This window comes from Homo sapiens, chromosome 12 (assembly GCF_000001405.40).
Source record: "Homo sapiens chromosome 12, GRCh38.p14 Primary Assembly".
NCBI lineage: Eukaryota > Metazoa > Chordata > Mammalia > Primates > Hominidae > Homo > Homo sapiens.
In genome coordinates this window covers 16,570,258-16,594,970 of record NC_000012.12, presented here as the reverse complement: position 1 = coordinate 16,594,970, position 24,713 = coordinate 16,570,258, and the positions used below count along the sequence as shown (strand labels likewise).

The following is a 24,713-nucleotide window of genomic DNA, read 5'->3' as shown; positions in this document are numbered from 1 at the left end:
TCTGGGAAATAATTTCTATTTTTGGTTGCTCTTAGACTATATCAAAGTAAGCCAGCACTTCATTTATAAACTCACCATTAACTTCCATTAAGTGACTAATAATAAATTTTAATGGTGTGTTTTGACTACATAAACATAATTTGTTAAGCAATCTCATTTTTAAAATATGCTGAAAGTAGTAATTTTGTAAATGGTTTTGATGAATATATAAATTGTAGAAATGTATTATGTAGTTCCATTTTCTGCCTCACATAAAAATGAAATAGCCTAAAAAAAGAATTGCACCAACCTAAATGACCGTTGTATTTCCCTTCATTACACTGTGGGGCACTGAAGTCTTATTTTGGTATTTGGTTTGAAAACATTTTTCCAACTCGTATGAGAATGTCTTCTATTATTCAAAGCCATGTACTGCATCCTCATCCTATCTTCTGAAAAAATTAGCCAATGTTTCTCACTTTTATCAATAAAAAATACAATATATGAAGTGTAAATGCTGGACAAGATCTGGAAAACAAAGGGAATAAAAATAAAAATAGCAATACTCTGTTCAATTTGCTAGGTATTTTTATAAAACTCCATTTGTATTAGCCATGTCTCTATAAATGGCCTTTTTCTTTCTTTTTTATTTTTTAGTTTAATTGGCTTATAAAAATTGGTTTGTGTATATGATTACTTCTGCTGACACATGGCACTTCCTCTTGTTAAGCATTTGAAGAGGTGTGGATCTATATACATACATGCTGCACATACAGAGATTGGAATCTGTGTAACCTTAGAATGGCCATTACCTTTTGTCATCATTGACTTTAGCCAACAAATCACCATAGCTTGGTAAGCTTTAAAACTTGTAAAATTCAAACACCTGACGCCAGCTAATTCGTTAATATTGCAAACTATAGCACTCATCTATTCTTACAGGATATTAATCAGTCTAACATGTAGGACAACTTTTATAAAACTACAGAATGCCTAAATTTATTTCCTTGTGATTTTAAATATCTAATTCTGTTTTTCTTAGCTCCGAGGGAGTTTGATACTGCCTGTTCTAGTTCTGTTTTTACTATGATAATATACTTGTTTTGATGATTAACCATGTATTTCCCTTTTCAAGGTGCTTACACGAAGCTTATTTTGAAGTGGAAGTTTATACTGTGAAGCAAGAAATGTGGCATTTAGCTTTTCATTTCTAACTTTAAAACAATTCCTTTGGCTTATGCCTTTCCCCCCTTTATTATCAGTATTAATGGATAACTTTCTCTAAAGGAATTAGGACCTAAGCATATCCTCTTATTATAGAAGCCAAACGTTTTCTATCTTCACAAACTAACTACATCAGCCAACTGTGCATTTGCTTGTGCCATTTTTTGCTTCTGTGCTGTATTATGAAATCTTCTTGATAAACCTTTTTCTTCTCAACAGTATTTTTGTAGTTATGTAATGATTCTCTTTTCGCCGAATTCCTTTGCGCTATCATGTTAGTGTTTTCTGATGCAAAAATCTCTAGTTGTGGGCTTTACAAGTTTAAAATGAAATCACACTTGAGATGAATAATCATCTTGGAATAGTCAAATCCCTGATTTGAAGGTGGAAAATTAACATTAAGCTGCATGTATTAAGTTAGACTCTAATCAGCATGTGTTGTTATGATTCAATTTAATATTAAAACTCTCCAACTGGGCTACTGGGAAAATAAAAGACTCTTAGGAATTGAAAGAGTATTTGCAGAAGAGCACACCAAAGCAATATTTAAGTAAAATTGTTATCACTAATGCAGTGAAGCATCGTCCACATTAAACCCAAGCTATTAATAAAAAGAGAAAATCAATTTTAGTAAACATAAATATCAGATATGACAAGGACTAGTAAGCAGGCATGGAACTTCATAAAATGTGCTAATCCTAATGTTTAACAGTAATCCAGATACCACAGAGAAAAAATAAATTCCTGTCTCATTTATGCTGTGGGATCCCAACAAGCAACAAGAGGGAAAAGCTAATTTTAGATGTCATTACTTTACTCCTAGTTTCTAAAACTTTTAGAACAATGTTATGTTTTTATTTTAGCAGTTCTAACAGAGATGTTTATTTACCTGTTTTTGAAATTATTTTATTCTTTTTGTTTTTAAAAGATTTTGAAATCTCTTTAGTAATTATTTTTAATGTTTTTTAATTTTCCATCTCTAGGATAGTGTTTTTTGACATACTGCTCACATTTCACCAAAAAATAGAAGAATCAAGACTGTTACATTTTAAAATACCTTACAACATTAAGCATACCACTTATTTTTTGTTTATTAGCTGCTCAATAAAAATATATTCTTACCAATATCTATGTATAAAGTTGGTAACATGAGTGGATCAGTACCTGTTCCTTTACCTGGGTGGGTAGGAGTAAGGGAAGTGGATGGAAAAAGCAGTTGTAACTTCATGCAAGTATTAGTTTCCATGAGCAGGTTATTTGCATTTTACAGGTGAGATGCTCACTTATACTGTGAATGTAATTTTAGAGTCTATAAATATTGCATGTGAATATCCACTGAGGAACATTTGCACTTTGGGAGATACAAAGAAATTATAAGTAATTGCCTTCAAATTTATAAGCCAGTATTTTCTGTGACCATTTATTAGGAAAAATATTAGAAAGTTCCTGAGCTAGAAGAATCTCTTCTTTCACGGTGCAACCCTTGCTGAGAGGCAGGATTGGGGTTTGTGTTTATGATTACTTGCTTTGCTATCTCTTTAAAAGTTCTACAATGAAACCATTTAGTCACTTGACAAATATTTGAGTGCCAATACTTCGTTCTTATAAATAATGAATGTGAAATACTACATTTCTAATTAATTTTGTATAATATATAAAGTACAAAGTTATACATACTTTCTTTTGTGAAGAATAAGCTATCCAGTCTGGGAAAATTGGAAAGAACTTAAGAGCAAGTTATTTTTCAAATTTTCTACACCTGATAAACATAGTCACTATTATTGTCAAATAACTAAGTAGAATATATAAAGAGTTTCACTCCAATTAAGTCCCATGGAACCAATATAGAGAATGACAAGAGGTATGATCAGGAGAGATTAGAAAATATTCTGAAGCAGGGAGGTTATAAAGTATCTGGACTTCATAAAAATTATTTCATAAGCCAGTGGTCCTCTTATGAAAGCTGAGCTTTGAGCTTCACGGGTTATATTTTGGGTGCAGAGCAAGACAGACTTAGCTTGTAACTTTCATGCTATTTGTATTGTTCCATCTCTTATCACAGATATCAGTAAGTTATCAATAATTGACACCCCTTGCAAAATGCTTATCTTTCCTTGTACAATTGATACCTCTTGCAAAACAATCATCCCCATTCCCATTTTTTCATTCAATAAATGTGATCATTCTGTATATTCTAGGTACTGTAAAAGGCCTTGACATAAGCACTAAATAAAACACAAAAATACCTGCTCCCCTTGTAGAGTTTATATTCTACTTAGGGGAAATAGGTAATCAACAAAATAAGTATAGGGCATGAGGAGATGATAAACACAATGAGGAGAAAATGAAGCAGTACAAGAGGTTTGTAGAATTTTGGTTTGTGTGGAGGGGGTGCAGACAGCCTCACTGAGACGGTGACTTGAGTAATGACCTGATGAAAGTGAAGGAGCTAGCCATGATCACGTATGGGAAGGACATTCTGGGCTCAGGAACATCCAGTACAAAGGCCCTGAGGTGGGAGTTTTTCTCATATGTTTGAAGGACATCACAGATACTAGTGCAGCTGGGGTGTGGGAGAGCAGGAGGGGCAAGAATAAGGGGTAGTCACTGTGTAGGTCTATGGTACCACCTATCACTGTTGCAACAAACAATGCCCCGTATACATTTCTAAATGTCCCCTAGAAAAGTGATAATACTTCAATTTGAAAACCATTGTAAAGCTTATTCAGTGAGGCAGTTGTGAAATCAATTTCATTTGGGATTATAGAATTCATCTGCTGAATTGAATGAGATTATTTTTCATTTATTTACTGGAAGTTTTTTTGGATGTCTTTTTATTTGGCCCCATTGATGACCCTGTGTGATTAAGTAATAGTTGTGAAATATGAATTTGAAAATAGGCTTCTGGATTTGGTCACGTGATGATCTGTTGCCAATCTAAGGGGGATGATATAGTCGCATGTTTGATTTTAAAGTGATGCATCTACATTCGTCTATTAATATGGCAAATGGAATATCTATACATCATAGTATTTCAATGTGAAATTCAAGGAAATGCCTATATTGATGAGCTAGGACTGCCAACACAGCATTTATGAGAGTAAGATCTTGACCAAAGATGTCATCAAACTGTCCTGATCACAATGATACCGATTTTTTTTTTTAATTCTTAGGTAATACAAATTGCAAAGATGTGGATTTTTCAAAGGCCATTAATTTTCTACTCTTGAAGTCCGCTATTCTAGGTCTGAGGGGTGATATTCTTGTATTTTTTTCACTTTTTAAAGTCAAGCCAAGCCCTATTTAATTATCTTATAGTTACAAAACATGTAAAATAATATATTTGCTCTAGTTATGATAAATGTTTCTAAATCCAGCACTTAGAGAAGATACATTAAGGACATATTGTTATTTAAAACAATTTCGTGAATTACATTCTTGATGAGACAAATGTTACATGAGAGTTTGTTTATGCTTATATTTCTCACCACTAACCTAACCCACTAACCTTAATCCTAGCTCACTAATGTTAGTTTTGCTTCAAGAAGAGCTAAGCATAATCCTCAAAGCCAAAAGTTAAATATTAATTTCTATTTATAACAGTGGGATTTGTATGTACAAAGTGTCTTTTAAAAATGTTTAAGTTTAAACTTTGGGTACAAATCAAAGTTCTCGAGCTTGCATGTATATTTATAAAATGGGCTGGGATATCTTCATGCATACTTGGCTAAGAAGCTATGCAAATGTGCTTTGAATCTTATAAGGAGGTACAGGATGAATGGGTGGGCTTTCAAAAACGGTGGCATTTATACTTCATGCACAAAAAAATCCAACACATACTTCCCAGAAAGCTAGACGGAGACAGTAGCCAGAGAGCTTTACGAGGCTTAATTCCTACTGTGGTCTGCATCTTGGGGGCTTTTTTCTGTTACAATTTCTAACAGTCCCCCTCTGTTCTTCCTGGCAGATGCTTTTCTTGTCCAGATTGAGTTGAGGAACCTATATTCCTAATCACTTGGTGATCCTCGTCTTCCAAGGCAGATCAATTTGAGCTTGATCTTAAAGAAAAGTTGCTTGATCTTGACCTGATAGTTTGCTTGGTGTTTAAATAATCTGAAATAATCTTGTCAGTGATAGTTATTAAACAAACCACTGTCTTTATAATAGAGATGATGTGCTTATTTGATTAAATATGTTACATTCCTTGTCTTCTTGGTTAGCTCTTGACTTCTGCAGCAACCTAAAAAAGACATAATTTTTCAGGAGATTTTAAATTAATTTTTCTTAAATTTTTCCTTCCTAATTTATACGGAGGCTTTCATCTGCACTACGACCTAATTTTTTACTGTGAAGTCACAAGTAAAAGTAAAGCCACAAGCTTATACTGCACTCATAGTAATATGTACAGTATATTTTAAATGTCTCATCATGTGTTTCTCATTATTCTACTACATTAGGTATTGCCCCTTCTCCATCAATGATCATCAGTGGCAGATAACTTATGTATTCCTATTAGGATGCATTCATCTACTGTTGTTATAATCTTCTGTGAATATCACTTCATTAAAAAATAAAAAGTTACATGAGTTCTTGTCACTTCCCTAAAATCTTCCAAACTGGGTGAGGTTACATCTAATTCGTAGATCTTAGAGGCATGTCAGGTTGCATCACGGTGAGGTATCCAGACCTGACGTCGACCCCCTTCTGCTACACCCCAGCTTCACATTCCTAGGCAACTTACTCAACCTCTCCAAGTCTGCGTTTTCTTCTCTAGAAATAGGAATCCTATTCATAAAATAGTTAGGGGTGACAGTGGACCACAGTAGGGAAAGAGCGGTACACATTGGCTGATACTCCTCCAATGTCAGCTTCTGTTGTTATGAAGGGAGAATGGCACTGAGTTATGAAGATAAGATAAGGGAGAAATTAAACATGAGGAGAAGATTGAAGAAGAGGTTTAAGAGTGATTAATAATGAAGAATATGAAAGGCTACTAGTATAATGAGGTCGTTTACCAACTTTTCGTGTGCAAAGGAGATGGGTGGAGAAATGTCTAAATATGTGCACTTTAGGCTGTATGGAAAAAATATCTCAACACTGGAGATTATTGGAATTTGGAATGGATTGTTAAATTAAGATTGTAGTGTGCTTTATATAAATTAGGATGAATTTGGATCTTTGGGAGAATTACTGAAAATTCTATTTCCTTTGTAACTGAGGTGATAGTTTTCTAAAATACCTTATATATCCATGCTCTCCCTGTTTTACCTTATAAAAGTTCTATGGCCTTGTAAAGCATTATATTTAATATTCCATAGAGTAGAATTATATTATAAAATTTTAGGTTGTTTTAGGTTTTCTTTATAGTGTTGATTTTGCATCTTTTTCTCAGGTGGCAAGGAAATTGAATACCAACTTTTTTACTCACATTATTTTTCACAGTGTTCTTTAAACAATTTGATTATATATCTTTATTCTTAAAGAAATTTGAGTGCACACCTTCAATTTGTATATTTGTATATATTTATAAATTGTAAATACTTTATTATACATTTTAAAAATTATGAAAACAATGTTTAAAGGAAAAAGTAGAAAATGCATGGAAATGCTAATAATTTTTTAAGCATTTCTTGGAGTATTGCACCTTAAATTTGGAGAGCACTATGTCTTAGTAGCTTTTTATGTTTAATTGAAAGTTGTTTGATAAAGATACTTGTGAATAAAAGGGGGAAAATACCAAAGCTTGGGAAAGAAGTCGTAAGAGAAAGACAGGGTAATTATCTGAAAGAAAGGGACTTTTTAAGCATGAATTAATATTCCTTGTTTTGTTCATTTAAAATTAAATCAAGGTTTTCTTTCATGAGAAATGTAGCAATGCTTGTGGACTTTTTCTAACACTATACCATAGCTACTGGCAGCATTAATATGAGACAAGGTTCCTCTCCCTCCCCCTGAAACCCCCCATTCAGGACACAGTGAGATTTTTAGACAGATAAATGCTAAGAGAACCCTGTGTACCAAAGGCAGTGTTTACTGCATGTAATACATATCATTGTTTGTCTCCTGTAGTGAAAAATACTTGTGTCGTGCTGTTAAAATGCACTCCTGACAGACCAGTGCTTGCTATTATAGGGTCCATTGCTTAAAAAAATGATACACTGACAGAAATACAATTTAAGAAAATTTAACACCAAGGGTAGTCAACCATGTAGGCTACTATTAAGGGGCCAAAACTCAAGGCCAGGGGTTTATTTAAAAAAGAGGCACAGTTTATTTGCTAGTAGTAGGCAAAGTAAAAGAAAAAAAAATCGAACTTGAATTCCTTGCTCTCTAGTCTGTAGAAAATTAATGAAAGCAACAGTTCAATAAGATTTTATTGCAGAAATGTTTAAGTGAAACGTTTTAAGAATGCTTTGGAATTTTTAAACAGTTACTTACCATTTAGAAAGCTGTAACACTGCAGTGCGTAACAAATTGTTAGCATTGGATCCTAGGCACACCCAGTGATTTTCTTAAAATGGATAGTCAGAGCTGTTTAATCTGAATCACTTTGTTCATTTCATTTTCGTGTGTGTAGCTTATGAATATATTTGAGATTGACAGGTCAGCAGCACCCACAATTGCTATAATTTAAAATGTAAGCCATTGTCCAAGTACCCTTGTGGGCATAGTTTGGTAGTTAAATGCATTAGATTTGTAACAAGACCTTTTGAGAAGGAAAATAACCAAATATGAGATGTGACGAGATATGTTGGATTTTTAGAGGAGTACAGAATGTTCTAATGAATAAACTGCTACTGAATGATGATAAAGCATGTGTTTTTAAGCTATCACATGACTCTATTATTAGAGGGGAGAATTCCATGAATTTAGATGAGACGTATTGTCTAATTTTACCATTTTAAAAACAAATCTGTCATCCAGTAATATTTGATGCCAACTGTGTATGGCTTACATGTTCCTTTGGGAGAAAGGTTACAAAAGTAATGCAATAAATAATCTGAGCCACAGGAGCTTAGCTCAAGTACCAGAGAAATGGAAAAAAACATCATCTACTGCAATGGGGGGTCAAAAGATGTGTATCTTGAAATCTCTACCCCGACGGTATAGCCTTATTGCCACATCCTAGGACAGGCTTTGGGAGACAAGTGGTCCTGCCAAGAAAGGACGTCCAAAGATGAAATGCAGTGTCTTTGCATATGTCCTCCAGAATTCAGTTGGCCTGAATCTGACAATATTATACAACAGATTTTTTTCTGTGGACGTAGAAGATAATGCTTAGCGTGAGATTTGTCCAGACACATTGTCCAGGGCCTCTGTGACTCAGCTGTGTGTTGGAGGAGAACCAGAAAGCCTTGCTGGGGAAGATTAGGATCCTCCGCTCTCCTTGCCACAGCCATGCAGTGGTTCTCCATTCATGCACGTGTTTTAGTTGTTTCTTAGTTGTTCCGTATGTGGACTTCATCGTATCATGACATCTTAACACTCTGTGTTCTTGCCAGAGATTACAACTTCAAATGCTGCTTTTCCATTCTTATGTTTTAAGAAGTCATCTGAAGGAAATAGTATTTATGGCAGATTACCTGAAAAACTGGATGTTGAATTATTCCTTGTGATGGTTTTTAATTTATCCTTCCCTGTGTCTTTGATCTTGACCCCTATTGTTTTGGCCCCTCAAAAATTTTTATGGAATTGTACATCAAGGTTTTGCTGTTTTCCTGTGTTGAAGATTTTCATTAACAGCTGCAAAAACATCAGTGTCCTAAGGATGCTATTGGGGACTTTGTTTACTGTATCACACAATGTCCTACCGCCTCACTGGTGAAATGTCGCCCAGATCTTAGGATAAGCAAGATTTCTGAGACTATAAATGACTAAATGATGTTTTACTTGGGCCTGTGAATCATATACATGTTGACATTTTCCCTCTTTTCTTTGTTTCCTGGGAAGCCCAGATCAAATTTACTTTCTAACAATTGTTTAGAAGTATATATGTTAATTGATTCTCCAGCCTTTTGTAATTTCTCACCCATATTTTCCTTTCTATTATTATATTTGGAGCTGCTTACATCACCTGAGGATTAGTTTTGACATCATTCAAATGAAATCACTTAAATAATTGGAATGGGTGGACTTCAACGGAAAGAAAATACAGGTGGGAACATAGGGCCTGATGCATGAGAGATGCTCAGATAGCTGAGTGAGAGGAATTTAGGAAAGGGGAGATTGTGATGAAATTAGTTTTCTAATCTGCAATTATATGTAAAATTAGGTGAATTTGAATAATATTTGGGAACAATATTTGAAACAACATTTATGCTCACTGTGTAGGATGAAGATGGTAGCAAAAATAACCTTTAATATAGGTTAATATTAATCTTTGTGGCCAAGTGATTGTTTAACATAAAGTTAATCCACTTTTTAAAAATATATACACAAATATGCAAATCCTTTTTCTTGAAGCAGTAATCAATAACTTGTTTTCTACCATGATACTTGAATGTAAATAAAATAGGCTGAATTATTTATCTTGCCAAGGGCTAAGACGGGAATTACAAACTCAATTGCCTCCAGGTTCCGGAGTCTGGAAGGAAAAATAACGTTGTGAACTGGGGCTTGCATGCGCCACCCAAAGGGGGAAGCCATGACTTAATTCCAGCACACTGTACGAATGTGGGCCTAATGTTGCTGATTTTTCTGGATAAACCAGATATTTTTTCTAGATATTTCAGTAAAATCTCTTGTATATAAGACATTGGCAACTAACTCTAATGTGGCACACAGCTACTAGTATGTAACTTTTTGGTCAGAATCATAAAATTCTGGTTTCAGATAACTGATCAGGCCCTTTAATGTGTACAGTTCGCTAAGGTGTTTGAAAATATTTCCTCGCATCCTGAATTCTTGAAGAGAGGATCAGAGCCCTTCATCCAATGTATACCAGTTACACTCCTGCTTCAGAAATCTCCTGGGAGCTTTCAGCCTAACAAGGAGTCTTGGCACTGCTTTGTGAGGCGAGAAGCAGCCCGTCCTGATAAAAGAAATCTCTTGCTGTTTCTTGAACTTCATGGCAGCCATTGCAATATGTTTGGACTTAAGTGGGATATTTTCTGGGACCCTCACTGTGCCAAAGCTAAGACATCTGAGGCCATCCACCTCTAAACAGGCCTCTTACCCCCCCCACTCCTCCACTTGCCAATGTTAATCTAAAACGTCTCTTGTTTCCATTCCTTTCCTCATTCTCTGTATATTTCTGCTGTTACGTTCACTCAACACTTTTCCACTGGGTCCTCCAGAAACCTCATGTCCTTGTCAATAACTTTTGCTGTGTCCACAATCTTTTGGCCAGATGCCTTTCCCATCAAAATATTGTTTTAACTGAATTTCATCTGTTGCCTTACCTGAAACTTGCCTCTCCTTTAAGGAGGCAACTTTTCTTTCAGCTGTCAACAGGTGCAAGGTACTACTTACTCATGTAAATCCCACATTCCATGAAGCCAAGAGGAGAAACTGGCAATCTTAGATACACATAACTCTCCCCACTCACTACTAAAAAATGCATCCTCCAACAAAACTCGTACATCTAATTATACTACCTTTTACCCCTACTCACTGCTGTCATTTCCCTCTTACCACAATTCTAGGGATTCTAAAAGGCTTAGAGATGACTCACTTGAAACCAAGCCCTAACTTGTTGAGCCTCCTTGACCCTACTGAACATCAGCCTGCCATCCCAGAATTATATACAGTGTCTTTTCCTTATGGAAAAGTATTTCATCTCAGGAATCTTAAACTCCACACTGTAGTCCTGTTTCACTTGTAATAGCACTGATCTTTGATTTCAGACATTCAGCTCTCCTGTCATGTCTCTTTCTCCTAATTTGGTCAAACCTTTAAGACTTCTATCTTTCCTGCCCACTATGAACCCAACTGTCAATCAGGCAAGTCCCCTTCACTTCCATCTTCTGTGTCTCCTCCCATGCCTGTGCTAGCTCAATTTTCACCACTGCTCCAGTCTAACAAATTGCCATGGGTATGCTACCCTTTTTCAATCCATTCCTACAGTGTGGTTAAGCATTGCTAGAAACAAGCAAATAACATACAGATTGATATTCCCTGATGTTTTTTATCAGGTTTGATATAAATCAGCCTCTTACATTTTATCTGCTTTTCCATTTATCTTTAATTTCTTTTATCCCATCTATGGGAATGAGGTCTTCCTATTCCTTCTAAGGCCAATTTTATGTCCTTGGCTCCATTCCCTCCAGTATTCTGTGTGTCTTCATTTTATGAGGTAACTTGTTTTTCTTCAGTCTTTAGTATCTTCTTTTCTACAATTACTTGACTGTCAACATATGGCTGTACCCAAGATTTTTCTGTTCTGTAAAAAGATGCTTTATCCCTCAAATTTATGTTACTGTTATCAATTCCCCTATTGTCTAATTTTTTTAAAAAAAAAGAACAGTCTGTTGTTGTCATCCATACTCCCTCAACCTCCTTTGCACTCCTTACCCACTTGTGATCTGGCTTCTGTCTCTCACCACTCTGCTGATACTGCTGTTACTGACATCCAATTGCTAAAGCCAATGGGCATTTTATCCGGGATCATCTTACAGTCTCTCTTCTCTTTTAATAGTGTTGATCATTTATTCTCTTTAAAAGCTTTCTACTGTCTTGGATGCCATGACCCTACAGTTTAGATTTTTTTTTTTTTTTTTTTTGAGGCGGAGTCTCGCACTGTCACCCAGGCTAGAGTGCAGTGGAGTGATCTCAGCTCACTACAACCTCTGCCTCCCAGCTTCAAGAGATTTTCCTGCATTAGCCTCCTGAGTAGCTGGGATTACAGGTGCATGCCACCACTCCCGGCTAATTTTTTTATTTTAGTAGAGACGGGGTTTCGCCATGTTGGCCAGGCTGGTCTCGAACTCCTGACCTCAGGTGATCCACTCAATTTGGCCTCCCAAAGTGCTGGGATTACAGGCATGGGCCACCGTGCCCGGCCTAGTTCTGATTCTTTTCTGGGCGTCTCATCCCAATCAGATACTTAAAAGAGTGAGGGACCGTACCTAGGAACGGTGATCTTGTTGTGGTATACTTATTTTTCCTAGGAGATGTTATTTGTCCTCATGGTTTCAATCCCTCCTCTTATTGTGATGGCTCAATCTCTACCCGTAGCCCATTACTCTCCAACAAGCTTAAGCAATGTATATCTAGCCACTTCCATAGTATCCACAATTAAGTGTTACACAGGAAGCTTAAGTTCAAAATATGTAAAGCAGCTTATGCAAAACTAACATAACTCTAATACAGTACCTTGACCTGATAAAGACAATATAAAATATAAAACACTAATGCTATTTTTGCATACAGATACAAAAACTTGAAAGATATTAGCAAATAGTCTGTCACTGTCTAAAATGAATAATACTATAGGAACAGGTAAGATGTTTTCTAGAATTCAGAGAATGAACACCAGGACATATCTCAATCTAATTCATTGTATTATCAAACTGGAGGAAGAAACACCATAGTTATGGCAGTCTGTACCAAAAAGGCAATTGATAAAATTCAGCCATTTCAAAACTTCCAAATAAAGAGAAACAGGAAGAAACCAGTTAAATATGATTAAGAAAATTTACTGAAACCTAACTGCAAATTTATAAAACAGCTAAATACTAAAGTAATTTCCATTAAAGCCAAGAAAAAGCCAGGGATACTCATTATTGTCCCTCATATTTAATGTTTTAAAGGGTCTAGCCAATGTAATAAGATAAGAAAACGAAGTAAATAAATATAAATAGTAAAAAAGATAATTATTTTATCTGCAGAAAATCGAGAAAACTCAAGAAATAGGTACATTTAGCATAGCAGCTAAATAAAAAAGTAAATCAAATTTATAGTTTTATTCTATGCCAAAAATAGCTTGTTAGGAATATAAAAGAAATTAATAAAGAGTAGTAATACAATTATTAAAATATATATGCTTTAGAGTTCAGCATTCATATGAAGAAATCTTTTTAAAGGAAAACTCTGCTGAAAAAAAAGTCCTCTATTTTTCTGTTCTTCCCTGCTAGATAAGTATCACAGAAAAATCTCAATGAGACTGATGGTAAGCCTGTTATAATAGCAATGGAATTTTGAGTGTTTGTTTTAACATTGTGAAAGAAAGTCAACAGAATGAAACTCAGATCATGGCAAATATTTCTTGAGGATTTACTCTATAATGGGTAGTGTTATAGGAACTGAGGCTCCAGCAGTTAAAAAAATGGACAGAAATATTTGCCTTTATGTATCTTATATTTTAGTATTATTTTTCAGGTATTCTCAATGAGTTATATATGTGCTAAGTGCTGTACAGATGTAATCTCCTCTAGCCCTTGGGAACTACAGTATTATTAAACCCATTTTAGAGAAGAAGGCACTGAGGCTGAGGGTAATTAAGTCATTTAGTCAAAGTTCCCAAGGTGCAAGTGATGGAGCTAGGATTCAAATCCAGACAGTGTGACTGACTCCAGAACCCATCCTTATGAGCTGTACTCTAGTGTTTAGTGACTGAGGACATGGCTTCAGGGACTTACTCCGAGGTCCCCATAAATTGATCCTGTCATCTGTAATTGAATTTTCAATCATTCAAACTCAAGCACTGATGAACTTCCTTTGTTTCTCTCCAGATAACCAATGGTTTTCTTGTACCTAACTATTTACAATGTTGATTAATTGTAGATTAGAAAAAAATTTGTTAGTGGCTGCAATTTCATCAAAACATTAGTTATAAAATAGCACAACAAACATAAACTTGAGGGATGACTGAATGTCTGTGTTGTATATAGCATGTCCAATACACAGTATACTTATTCATAATAGATTTAAAACAAATAAGGTGTTAACAGTGGTCAATTCTGTTTCTTTGTATAATTAATAAAAGCTTTTATTGCAAAGCAACTATAAGAACATCGTGAAAAATTTAACAATAGAGATTAGCAAAAATGCAGTAACAAAATCACCATGATTCTACCAGAACCTACTAATGTTTGCTCTAATTATTCATCATTCCAAATCTTTTTCTACCTGTATTTATGCACATGTATGTATTTTTTATCAAATTGAGATTGTATTTACATTCTGTTTTGTAACCTAATTTTTTAGACTATGATCTACATTTTTCCATGCTAGTGAAATTTTATATAATCTACTACCTGATCCTTGTTCAGATTTCTCTAGTTGTCCCCAGAAAAGTCCTCCAAAGGTTTTCCAAATCAAGATCCAATCCAAGATTTCACTTTACATCTGATGGTCATGTCTATGAAGTTTCTCTTAATCTTGAACATTGTCATTTTCATGACATTCACTTATTAAAGAGACCATAGAAGTGGTCCTCTAAAATTTTTCACCTACTTCATTTGGTTGGTTGCATCCTTGTGGTGTCTTTGCTCTTGATCCTTCTATTCCTAGTGCTCCCAGTAAAACAGAAGTTGCTTTAAACATTGACAAAATTCAGATATTGCCAGAAGCAGTGGCATGCACCTGTAGTCTAAGCTACTAGGGAGATTGAGGTGGGAGGACCACTTGAGCCCAGGAGTTGGAGGCCAGCCTGGGCAACATAGAGAGATCCCATCTCTATTAAAAAATAAAAATAACGTAGGTGTATATTTTGTTTTAGAATACATGATAAATGATATCATATTGTATAATATCAGGAAATACATAATATCTGTTATCTCACTATTTGTGACACTTAAATTGATCATGAGATGATAAACTGATCCTGCTTTTGTACAGTTACACCTTTCTCATTGTGACCAGAAAGCACCCTGTGCAACATTACTTAAATACCAACAGATACCTGGTTCTCTGTTGGCAATTAAACCTAGTGGGTATAAATAACAATGGATAATCATTATCTAAATCAGTACAGGTTGAAAAATTAGATTGTCATCCTATCACTTCTACATTTATAAGCTGGTATTTTTCTGTAAAGTATCGCATTCACTCGGCCACTGAATCTATTGGTCATTCTGAAATGCTATTTCTACTGGAAAAACAAGATAAAAATTTTCTGAATTCTTACTGAGTGCCTAGTAGGCTAGGTGGGGTTGAGAGAGAAGAGGCAGCCTCAGCCTTCCTACTGAGTAAGACTTCAACTAAAGGATTCCACCAACGTGATCTTTCTTTACTTAGAGCCATTACCCTGGCTAAGATTCTAAAATCTTTTTTTCAAATTATTAGGCCATAATGCCGACAAATAAGAAGCAAGGGAACTATTCACTTATACATCTGCGTTGGCTTTTAAGCTACTGATATACCATCACCAAATTGTTAGTCAATTAAATGTAAACTTGGAAGGTTATGTAAATCCTACCAAAAAAATTGTTTCTCATCAGTGGCATCAGGCACATTTGATTTTACTTCTTTTCTGAGGCTCACCAAAGACCTCCTTGTGAAACACAGCTATTGTTTTTCTGGTAATAATTATCTGAACAAATTTGGACAATTCTTGTTCTTGGTTTCCTAATTCTATTGGAAAACAGCCAAACCATTTAATGACGGTTACCCTAAATATCTAAATTATGTGTATCTAAGGGAATATATATATACAATTTAATGCTAGAAGAGAAAACATGTTGTTCTCTTCAAAAAAAAATCCCTGTGGAAGTTTATGACCTTTATAATCAGTGCCTTTTTAAAAAACTAAGCTCTAGAGAGTGTTTGGGTTGGAAAAGGTCACCTATTTGCAATGATACAGTCTGTCAAGAGTGTGTACAAATGTAATATACTAGACCTTAACAATGCAATATACTTCATTAGAATAAAGAACTTTTTCTTTTCTTTTTATTTCAAGTGAGACTTTGTTAAGTATAGAACCATGAATTATTTCTCCTTGAATATATTCTTCTAGTGAATTAATGTTTTGTTGTTGTTGTTGTTGTTGTTGTTGTTGTTGTTGTTGTTTGAGACAGAATCTCGCTCTGTCTCCCAGGCTGGAGTTCAGTGGCTCGATCTCGGCTCACTGCAAACTCCGCCTCCCAGGTTCAAGGAATTCTCCTGCCTCAGCCTTCCAAGAAACTAGCATTACAGGCATGCACCACCACACCTGGCTAATTTTTGTATTTTTAGTAGACATGGGGCTTCACCATGTTGGCCAAGCTGGTCTCGAACTCCTGACCTCAAGTGATCCACCCGCCTCAGCCTCCCAAAGGGCTGGGATTACAGGCATGAGCCACGGCGCCCGGCCTAATGTGATTTTTATTTTAATACTTTGAAACTTTTATACCTAAGGTCAGACCTGAGCATGGGCCAGCCTGAGACCATCTACTCCAAAGAGAGCACAACTGCTTCTTCTCTTCCCTGTTCCTCCATCCCTTCTACCTGACCCCTCCCCTTTCTCCCTCTACCCCATGTAGAGTTAAAAGTAGGAAGTTATTTTTAATTTATATTGTTCAGGTAAGCTAAGTAAAATACAATTGTTCTCAAACTTGAGTAGTTTATACAAGCTTTGGAAGAAAAAATTCTCTTAGAATTCCCCTAAACATTCATTGTACATGAATTTGAGAAAATTGCAGTACTGTCACTTTAGGTAGTTAGTTAACATTTTCTAAGTTTCATGAAACTATGAGTTTAAAGAAAAACTCAGTCTCTGTTGCCTGGCAAGACTTCTGGGAGGCGATGAGGTGCCGTGAGCAATGAGGACAGAATATATTTCTTATGAAAGTTGTTGCCTACTGAGGACTGGAGTCCATTGTACATCTAATTCCAAATGAGATGGTGGAATTAGTTGTAGTGTTGCCAGACAAAATACAGGATACCCAGGTAAACTCAAATTTCTGATAAATAATGGATAATTATTTTAGTCTAAAAATGTCACATAAAATAATTTGTGATCCTAAATCTGGCAGCCATAATTAGGTGACACATTTAGAAGAAAGTTAGAAAGAACTGTGGCCCTGTTAAATTGATCCAGAGAACCATCATGGGCAACCTGAATATTATTATGTTGGTGAGATGGAGCCATTGTAAGTTATTGAACAGATGAGTGAAATGAGGAAATTACTGCCTTAAGGAAAAAAATTCTCCTCTAGATGTGTGCAGAATGATTTGTTATGAGATGAGAATGTCCTTTCTGTTTGTTTGTTATTATTCTTACTTGTCCTCTTCCAAAACTATACCACAAACGTTTTGTGAACAGGGGAAATTCTTATTTGTTTTATTATATACAACATCTAGTAGAAAATCTGGCTGATAATAGGTACTCAATAAATATTGACTGGAGGGTAGAAGGAGGGAGTGGGGTAGAATAATATATTTAGGAATGCTGAAATAAATGCAATAAGATGACAACCTATATGATGAAAATAATGAAGAATAACTGCCAACTACTTAGGAAAATGTGATTTTAATAACTCAGCTTATTTAGGAGGCCTTCATGGAAGAATTGTGATAAGAGATGGTCCTAGAAGCTGAAAAGGAAATTTAGGAGATGATCCTAAAAAGAAGAAAGTTTACGGCCTTTCAGAATTCAGGTGGGTGTTGGTGCACCTTCTGACTGTCTGCCTAAGTTAGGTATATAATATCATGCTGTTTGTTAACTCTTTAGAGTAATGGGGTAATGATGGTAAAGAAATATCACTAGATATGAGGGATACAGATGTTACCAGTCACAAGTTTTCTGCATCTGCTAATATTAGAATTCTGATGTGTTGGCACCTAAACCATCTTGAGTGTGATCAAAGACAGATGGAATTGGTGCTAAGTTTCAGCAAGTAGATTCTCATGTTGCCTAGCAAGCTTCCAGTGTAGTTTTACTCATATAGCTTTGCCCTTATTGGGTTATTTCTAAAATAGATAGTTTAGGAAAGAACGTGGGGAGGGTGGTATAATCATTTCTTTGTAACAGCTTTTAAGTAATTTATTTTTGACTTCCACCTACAGGTCTTATGTCCATTGTACACTGAATTTAAAATGGTATTTAAAAATAGATGGTACTAATCTAGGGGTCATAAGTAAAATCCCTGTATGCAGTCTATATAGTTGGACAATGCAAGAATGTTAATTTCCATTTATATATCTCTACATTCTAATTCAGCAGTTATGGAGCATATGAACATCACATGTGTTAGGTGCAGAGTAAAGGAGAAGGCAAGTTTTCAGGGAGCTTATTATGTAGTGAGAAAGAGACAAACAGGTACGTAACTGATACAGATTCTGAAAGATGAAGTAGTATATGAAAACAAGTGCTTAAATGTCTAAAGAAGTGTGTTATTTATTCTGCCTCAAGGAAATCAGAGAGGCTTCATAGATCCATTGACATTTGATCTGAATATGAAAAAAAAGCAGCAGTAGTCTTCCAGGAAGAATAGATTTAGTAGGAACTCAGCAGGCAGGAGTGGTAGGACATCAGGTGTGAAAGTAGATGCTGAGTCCAGGGAGTAGACAGCACATTGGGGCTGAGGCTCAGTGATGGGATAGAAGACAGAAAAGAAGACAGACAGGATGGACCTTTCATGCTTCCCTGCATCTATCCTGCATACAGTAGGGGAGCTATGGAAGGTTATAAGCAGGATCAATGGGTTGGAGCTGTGTTATAGAAAGGCTACCGGCTGCAGAGTGGAAGGCGGACAGCAGGGCAGGGCAGGCTGGTGGAAAGATGTTCAGCTGGGAGGTTGTAGTATGAGTGCAAGGGAGAAGCGATGCGCGCTAGAAGTAGCTTACTGAGACAAAAGAGGACAGATCCCCTTTTAACACAGCGGCAGGGCTAGATTTGGGGGTCTGAGAAGAGGAGGCAAATTCAAAGTTAAGTTCAAGACCTGTGGCTCGAGGGACTTGCAAATGTTCCGACATTCATTTCTACGTGCATTGAACATGGGGAGAGGGAGGGTAATGTAGTCTGCAGAAGAGAAGGATGTCACGTAGGGAGAACTAGACTGTAAGGCCCTGGTGAGTAGAAAGTGAAGAATTTAGCTTTATGTATAAGCACTTCCTACAGGTCAGGACATGAAAAGTGATCTTTAAGAGGTAGTAGTGAATAGCCTCTGAGGCTCCTTCTGTTGTTCTCTTGACACAAGAGGGGAAATCCTAAATGGCTCAGTGTGTGGAGTCCAGCTCTCCTATTATCTATCTATGTGACGCTGGGTGTATTACATAATTCTGCATGCCTCATTTTCCTCATCCATAAAATGGATGAATAAACCTGCCTCATTCAGTTGTCCTGAGGATTAATGAAATAACTCGTGTCAAATGCTTAGAACAGTGTCTGGTACAGAGACAGGGCTCAATAAACATTAGCTCTTATACACTAAGCCCTTACATAATTGACCAAATTTCGTATTGATATTGATTTCAGATGTTTCTTTAAAATGTAAGCAAAGGGAAATCTTTGGACTAATTTGTCTAATTTGCGGAGGTATCATTATCAGAGAGGACTTGGTCTTTTAGTTGCTTTTTCCATTAAAAAGGCTTCGTAGACAGTATGACGTTTAGTGTGTGGAAATTGACCTTATGCCTATATTTTTGAAGATAAACAAAGCTTCCATTTTAGTGGGGTTTTATTCATATGGGTTTATTTATGAATTTTGAGCTGCAAAAGAGAATAGGGAGCTTTTTATAAAAACATGACGGACATCATAATGTTAAGTTTAGATTATAACTTGGAAGTCAGTACCAGGTTACATAATACTGTAGATTGCCCTGTTATGTTTTTCTAGGTAAAAATAAACAAACGAAAACACCTTTTCTTTTGTGTGTTTTGTGTTTGTTTCTTTTTGTTACTAGTTTGTCATACTATGTATCATACTTCAATTGAGGGTAAGAAAGGAGGTGCCTTATGTAGGGAGCACCCTTCTAGGTATCAGAACACATAGACTCGGACTCGGCCAGATTTCTATCACTGCTGTTAATGACTATGAGATCTTAGACATGTCACTGCTACCTCTCTATACTTCTGTTTCCCCACTCACAGAATGGATGCCACCTACCACCTCTCAAAATGTATGGTAAGGATTAATTTTTCTATTACAGATTTATAGAAGACTTTCTTTTCTAATGGCCGATAAATCCTTTGCGGTTGGAAACAAGCCATTTTTCTTCTTTATGTGTCTTGCAGTTAACAGAGCACAGATAGGAATTAGCTCCATTGTGTCAGTAAGAAAACTGAGATTTAAAATTTAAAAAGTGGTACAAATAGGGGGAAAGTTCCTAAGTCACCTTTTATCCCCTACCTAAAACACATCATTGGTTAAGTGCTTTGAACCTGTCAGAAAGACTATAAGAAAAAATACCAAGTAATATCAGCCTGCTAGTCTGGGCTGTTGGGAATATCTATTATGCCATCTGTCACAGGAGATTTTAGGTTGGAGAGCAGCAAATCCGTGACTGGGGACTCAAAGTTCAAAAGCAGAAGGTCTCTCCTCTCTGCACACCGTGTGGTGTCTAAATCACTATCCGAGAGACAGGCGTTTTCGTTGATCAGACATCCTGCATCTGCAACTTCATTTAAAAATAAAAGGTTTAAAGAGTCATCGTTTATACATTGTTCCAAGGTCCCTGTAATTTAAATCAATGTGATCGAGATATGTAATACAAAATTTCTAGCCCTACTGTCTTCCTCTAACTTACTCTGGGTCTTGGTGGTGTTGCATTTTTATAATGGAGCAAATCGGCAGAGTAGGTGGAGGAAGGTTGGTTTTCCAAAGGGATCAGGTAAGCTGCAGGTCCACGTGGACACATTTGTTACTTCGGGGAAGCGGGGAAGCGGAGAAGCAGCAATTAGGCAGTGGAGTAATGCTCTGAGGGGCACGGACTCCAGTTCCGTAATACATTCCTTTCTTAATGTGACTTGATGTAGATAGAGTGAGGGCCTATCAGGTGTGAAAAGCCCTGCTGCTCCTGGCGTGGAGTGGCCTCCAGACGGTGATTTGGCGACGTCAATCTAGTCATGCTTGATTTCGACACTTAACGTGGTAAAGCAGGATTTCTCTACCCCCGATCAACTTCTCAATTAGCAAGCTGCCTTGTGTAACGGCCTTGTTTTGCAATCCCTCAGGGCTGCTTCAGGGGTCATTAGGGTGAGAAAACTTGAGCACTCGCTCCAGCTCGAGCAGAGCAGGAAGGGAGCCTCAGAGATTTCCTAAATACGTATAACCCTTTTTCAAGTTGTTTGCTTTCATGGGATTGATTCTTGGCACATTAAGAAGCTTAAGGCTCCAGTATCTTCTTTTAACTGCCCCCCTTATCGCCTTTGCAGCTGACAGGTTTTTTTGACAGGCTGAGAGTAAAAAGAGATAACTAGTAGGTTAGTACTTTATTTATACATGTGGACACACAAGCACATAGAAAGACACGCACACACGCGTTCAAATATCTTTTAAGTTGTCTTTTCAGGGCCGCTGGTTACCACTGAATATCAGCTGTCAAATGATTCCAGTACCTCATGTTTTTAATATTCAATATGTCTGAGTTCAAAATTTTTGTTTCAACTATATCTGACTTCATTCACTAATGATTTTAAATTGGACCTGCCTTATTCAATATTCTCTCTAAACCCCCAAATAGTATTTATATGAATAATATGTTAATATGAGGTTTTTGTCCGGGGCACTTATGAATAGACATTGGAATATATTTATTTAATGTTTTTTCCTATCTGTGATTTGACTGAGTGGCTTACTCCTAACTTTCATAGGAAAAAAAAAAGGTATTTTTTCTTTCCTTTTATAAGATGTATCTGGATAGAGAAACACATAATAAAAACAGGAAAATTTTAAGAATTGCACTCCTTTAAAAAAATCTCTACTTTCAAGCATTGTGGATTTCATATTTATAATTTCCTATTTTGATGATCAATTTTATATCCACTTGCTGTTATCAAACTGTTAAAAATTAGGTGAATAAATTCATATCAAATACCTTAGCAGGTTTGGCCTTAATGTAGTATCCTTAGAGCAAATTACTTTAACCTATATTTTGTGAACAGGTTTTCCCAAAGTGGTTGGTCTCTGTTTTTTACAAAAATATTTAGTTTATTAACAGTGAGCAGAGCATTATATGGTTTATAATATATTTAAATTATATATAATATATTTAAATTATATATATAATCTATATATTTAAGTCAGAGGTAACTGACTTAAATATATTTTACAAGTTAGAAGTTGGATATACGTGGATATTACACACCCTAACACATACTCTATTTATGAAGGGTTTGACATCCAGTTTTAGATCTGTTTGAGAAACAGTTAAAATTCTAGGCACTTTGGCATAGCAGCTTCTAAGAAGTACTTCAAATAATAAGTCCTAAAGGTGACCCAATAAAGGAAATAGCTTAGTAGCTCTGTTTTTTTTTTAATAAAGAAGATAGATACACATTCTAAAATCGTTAATTAAAGTCAGCACTGTAGAAACAGCTCTTTACAAAAAAAAAAAAAAAAAAAAAAGAGTTTGGACCACTATGCAGAAAACATAGAGAATGTTTATGAACAATATTGTATGTGAACATATAAATATGTAATCTACAGGTTTTATTGTAATTCCTTCTGTAGAGCTTTACTACGTAAAAGTACAACTTTAGTATTTCTCCTTCTTAATACTGGATTGAGAGTTGTGGTAATTTATTATGGAAAGCATCAAGTTTTAACAAATTAATACTAATGAAATGTACCTTTTTCTTGCAGGATACCATTTTGTCTTTTTGAATCTCTTTCCTTTTGTTAATTTCTTATTCCAAAAAGGAGTTCATCTAATCCTACAAATAATTGCTTTCATGGCTTTATTTTGATAATGTGGGATTTTTCTCTTAAATCCCACTTTGAGGCAATGCAAAAATCCTTTTAAGGATTCACAAATTTAAAAAATGTGTATGTATTTTAAATACTAGCTTATATTAAATAAAAGTTATATGCCTTCCCTTTTCAATGAGTTTTAAGACAATGTTACAAGTTCAGTCTGAAAACTAAGTCAGATTTTCTAAATTAGTGTTAGCTGAATGATCCAGTTACACTTTGATTAGAATGAAGAATCACAGAATTTTATAATTACATAAATATCTTGAAAGGGTATTTAATTCAATCTGCATATTTGAGTCAGTGAAGGAACCAAAGAACAGAAATTGTGAAACCTTTGAGTTCTCATTGCTCTTTGGCTATTACTAGGGTTGCCATATAATTTTCTACCCAACCCAGGACATTTTTGATAAAGATAACATGAGTATATAGACTAGGCAACAGGTTTATATCCAGGATTGTCCTAGAAAAATGGTGACATATGAATACCCTTGCTTTTAGAGATATTCAATCTATATATTTTTTCAAATGATTGTGTTTAGAGTACCTTCTTAAAGAATTTGAAAACAAATATTTATACTATTTATACTAATGAGATAAATGGTGTTGGATATTAAATTTGCTTTGCAGAAAGTACTTTAACAAAAGTGACCAAATAGAATATGCTTCATGAATCTTAGGTGCTTATGTCAAAGAAATTCAGTACAATAAAATACTGATGCCTTTGTAACGTAATATCCTTAGTTAAATACAAGGATGAATATCTGTGATAACACTTTTTGCATCCCTTTTCTTTGGAAAATTTAACTTATACAATAGGTGACACAATGCCCCAAACCCTGCTACTTACCTTAAAAGAAAACATTAGTAGTTAGGTTGTTTCTTCAACGAGGTAAGATAAAATATTAAATAAAATTTCAAACTAAACTGTAGATAATAGATTTTTTTAAAATTTATTATTATTATACTTTAAGTTTTAGGGTACATGTGCACAATGTGCAGGTTAGTTACATATGTATACATGTGCCATGCTGATAATAGATTCTTATATAGGTTGACATTATTCTCCTACACAGCACTTTTTCTTGAAGTAAGTAATAATAATTAACCCTAGAAGAAATGTTTGATCATCTGAAAATTTACTGGCTAGCTGCAAGAATTAAATAATACCTTACCTATTCAAGGTAAGTGATTTGATAACTTTTTGTGAATAATCAGGTGACTGTTGTCACTAAATCACAATCTCTGGATATAAAAGATATCCTTTACATCAGAACAAGTGAGTTTTGCATTGCAGTCCAGATTACACCAATCACTCGTTCGTGTTTCACAGTGGAGCTTTGCTAAGCCTGTGTTAGTGCCTGAGTGAGTAAGTGGCTCTTGGAAAGATGGTGAAATTGACACATGAAAACATTAAATGGCTTATTTGACAAAGATCTAAGAAAATGTCATTCCCAGGATTATTTCCCAACTGTTCACAAAATGACCATGATCATTTTCCTATAATGCTTCTTTTCATTTTCTTTATTTTTCTTTTCTGTTGAAAATTTCAGTATTTGAAGTGCCTTAATTACGAGATGAGTAAAAAAAAATATTTTCAAACCAGATACCTCTCCACTTAATTTCTTGTTCACTTTTATATATAGTGTATGGAAAGAAAAGGATGAAAAAGAAAGATAGAAAAGAAGGTAATTATGAGTCTCTAAGAAGTCTGTAAAGATATCAAAAGACTTCAAT

The 24,713-nt window shown here is 35.3% G+C and overlaps 2 protein-coding genes across 17 annotated transcripts in view; one reads left to right on the top strand and one right to left on the bottom strand.

The window, feature by feature from the left end:
* Nucleotides 1–24,713, top strand: part of LMO3 (LIM domain only 3) — a 61,803-nt gene that overhangs the window by 15,204 nt on the left and 21,886 nt on the right. For 3 of the 16 annotated variants that reach the window (NR_045012.1, NM_001243613.1, XM_047429156.1), the window contains one exon: nt 710–834. The exons of 12 other annotated variants lie outside the window; for them this stretch is intronic. Coding sequence is in view for 3 of the 4 variants with exons in the window: in NM_001243613.1 (NP_001230542.1) it covers nt 710–834 (125 nt within the window). In the remaining variant the exon portion in view is untranslated. Of the gene's footprint in view, nt 1–636; nt 835–24,713 lie in introns of all 16 variants that reach the window. One more of the 16 variants, XM_047429154.1, reaches the window with a different exon arrangement.
* MGST1 (microsomal glutathione S-transferase 1) overlaps nt 1,640–24,713 on the bottom strand; it is a 246,217-nt gene continuing 223,143 nt past the window's right edge. The window contains exon 6 of the mRNA XM_047428857.1: nt 1,640–5,443. The gene's annotated coding sequence lies outside the window, so the exon portion shown is untranslated. The remainder of the gene's footprint in view (nt 5,444–24,713) is intronic.